General features: G+C 52.8%; 2 annotated features.

The window, feature by feature from the left end:
* Positions 279-507: a silencer, noted in NCBI's record as "fragment chr1:203462774-203463002 (GRCh37/hg19 assembly coordinates)". NCBI's record gives its function as "represses an EF-1alpha promoter that drives an FKBP-Casp9 reporter gene in an ReSE screen in K562 erythroleukemia cells {active_cell/tissue: K562}" and the evidence as "EXISTENCE:reporter gene assay evidence [ECO:0000049][PMID:32094911]".
* Positions 1,895-2,693: an enhancer, noted in NCBI's record as "NANOG-H3K4me1 hESC enhancer chr1:203460588-203461386 (GRCh37/hg19 assembly coordinates)". NCBI's record gives its function as "activates a minimal SCP1, AML or CMV promoter by ChIP-STARR-seq in naive H9 embryonic stem cells {active_cell/tissue: H9 hESC(naive)}" and the evidence as "EXISTENCE:reporter gene assay evidence [ECO:0000049][PMID:30033119]".

Genomic DNA, 2,729 nt, shown 5'->3' with positions numbered 1-2,729 from the left:
GGAGGCTGTCTGAACTGGGGCTTGGGTTAGACAGTGGTGCCCGGGGGAGGGCAAGGAGTTGGCCAGGCCTGCGACCAATCAGACTTCTCATTCCTTCTGATGTCCAGCTGTTTCCCCTCCTCTTTCCTCAGGGGGTCCCCTGCCCCATTCCTGTATTTGACAAAAGAGAATTCTCCCCCCACCTTCCGCTTCACCCCCCACCTCCAGCTCCTGCTCTCTCTCCTCTTACTCTGTCAGCTCCTTCTTTCTTTTCCTTGTCCACTCTCCTGATAAGGCCACATCTTTGAGGAACAGGGAGTGCCATCCCCTGCAAGGAAGGGGCCCCATCCCTCAGATTCTGAGTCCTCAGAGAAGGCTGGAGTCGGGGGATATGGAGAGATAGAGCTTGTCTTTGCAGCTTCTTTCTCCAGCCAGAGAGTGACAAGGCTTCAGCTTCATAGCCAGAATCCAAAGATAAAAATAGGTGGAAATGAGGCACTTCACCCTCACCTAGAGCGCCAGCACAGAGACCATAATTGAATAAAATCACCAGAGACAGGAGCTGCAGGCCTAGGTAGTTCAAAGAGAAGGTGTATGGGGGATGAGATCGGATTTGAAAGCCAACTTCAAGTTCACAGATGATGATCATGAGGATACGGGAAATTCTCTAAATCTGCTAGGAGGAAACCAAATGGAAATTGGGAGGTGGGCCCTAGAAAGGATCATAAACACCAGTAGACATTGTGTAGGGTCTCGGGGGCCTGGGAAGTATCCTCTCCCGCACCCTCAGAGATGTACAGTCGTCCCTCAGTAACCATGGGGGATTGGTTCTGCACGTCCAGTGGATACCAAATCCACATATGCTGAGGTCTTTTATATAAAATGGTGAATTTGCACATAACCTACGCACATCCTCCTGTGTACTTCAAATCATCTCTAGATTACCTATAACACCAAACACAATGCTTACACCTCACTCCATTCACATGGATTCCACATAGTACTGGCACACAGCAAATTCAAGTTTTCCTTTTTGGAACGTTGTGAATTTTTTTTTTTTCTGAATATTTTCAATCTGTGGTTGGTTGAATCCACGGATGTGGAACCCACAGATACAGAGGGCCAACGGCATTCATCTGGAAACACTCCCCTTTCCTTGGTGCCTCGAGCAGGCTGCCGAGCAAGTCCTTGCTGAAGGCAGAGGTGGGGTGGCTAAGGAGTCTTCCCCAGCTTCTGCCAGCCTGTGCCCTGGCGCCCACCCAGGTTTCTCAGTGACTCTCCTTGTTCCCTACTCCTTTCCACCAACCAGATACTGAATTCCAGCTGTGAGGCCCCCTAAAGATCTAGTCCAAGTCCTTGTGGTATAGATGAGGAGAGTGAGGCCCAAAGAGGTGACGTGACTTGCCCTAGGTCACACAGAGCCAGGGCCAATGCCTAGATTTTTTGACTCCCTGGTCAGAGAGTTTTCTTTAGTTCATATGACCCTCCCCATTTCCACCTTCTTCCCCAGGAGTCCTGAATCCGTGTGTTTCCAGGCCCTCAGAGCAGATGGCTTGGCAGAACTCATCTCTGCCCTGGCACACCAGGTGAAGAGGCAGATCTAATAGCCTGGCCCTCGAGGGCAGCATTTGGCTTGCTGTGTTCCTGGGCTCCAGCTGGTGCAAGAGGGGGCTTCCCTCAGCCCAAGAGCCTGGTCACCAGAGAAGAGCATGTTCTTGTACCCCTGGCAGCCCCCCACCTGGGAAAAGACACCATCAGAGGCTCTGCTGGGTGGAGGGAAAGATAGCCCTGGATCCTGGAGGGCATCCAGTAGGCAGATGGCACATTTGGCGGGCTGTATGCCTCCATCTTCTCTCCACAGCCTGGGCTTTGCAGCCAGAGGCCCTCCACCCCCACAGCCAGCCTAGGCAATCTCCCCGCTCCCACCCCACACATTTATTCCTGGGAGAAATGCAAATGCGAGTGTTCATTCACTCTCCCTGCCGCCTGCTCCCACTCTCCCTCCCTGCTTTCCCAGAGACATACGCTCCTGCCATCCCTGCTTGGTTGCCACACCCCCACCATCGTTCCTCCCCAATGCATACACACCTGCTCCCCCCACTCCCTGCAGGAGCCACATCCAGACTCAGGCTCGCATCCTAGACCCTCTCCCAACTTCTCCTCTTGCTTTCCCAAGCTCACAGGTCACACACTCTTGTTCTCATGAATATTAGGGGCTGTCCATGGATGTGTACATGTGACCTGGTGGGGGAAACGGCTAACCCCGCAGACTGCTGTTCCAGGCAGCCCAGCTCCCCAAGAGCCTGGCAAAGGAAGCAGGAGGCGGGGGAGGCGTCCTAATCCTAATCTCTCATTAGGAGAGGCAAAAGGCGTGTTGATGAATCGGAGGCGGCAGGTGGTATGGACAGAAGTTTGACCAGCCAACCCTGTTGTTGCCCTTTTCATGGATAGGGAGAGAGAGGCGGGGAAGTTCAGGAACCCTCCTGTGTTTTGGATGACAGGGGTATATCCCCTGCTGAGGGCTTGTAGCCACATAACTCCACTCCATGACCGGAACATGACCCTCTCCTCTTTTTCAGACACACAAGCCCCACAGGGTAGACTCCACACCTTCCTACCTTTGTACTCATGCTGTTTCCTGTCCAGGTGGCGTCTTTTTTTCTTTCATCCACCTGGCAAAATCTGATTTATCCCTTAAGAGCCAGCTCACATGGTAGGAGTCTTTCTGGTTTTCCTCAGGTAGAGGTAAA

Source organism: Homo sapiens, chromosome 1, assembly GCF_000001405.40.
Source record: "Homo sapiens chromosome 1, GRCh38.p14 Primary Assembly".
Taxonomy (NCBI): domain Eukaryota; kingdom Metazoa; phylum Chordata; class Mammalia; order Primates; family Hominidae; genus Homo; species Homo sapiens.
Note: the sequence above shows the minus strand (reverse complement) of the source record. Positions and strands in the feature narration are given on the sequence as shown.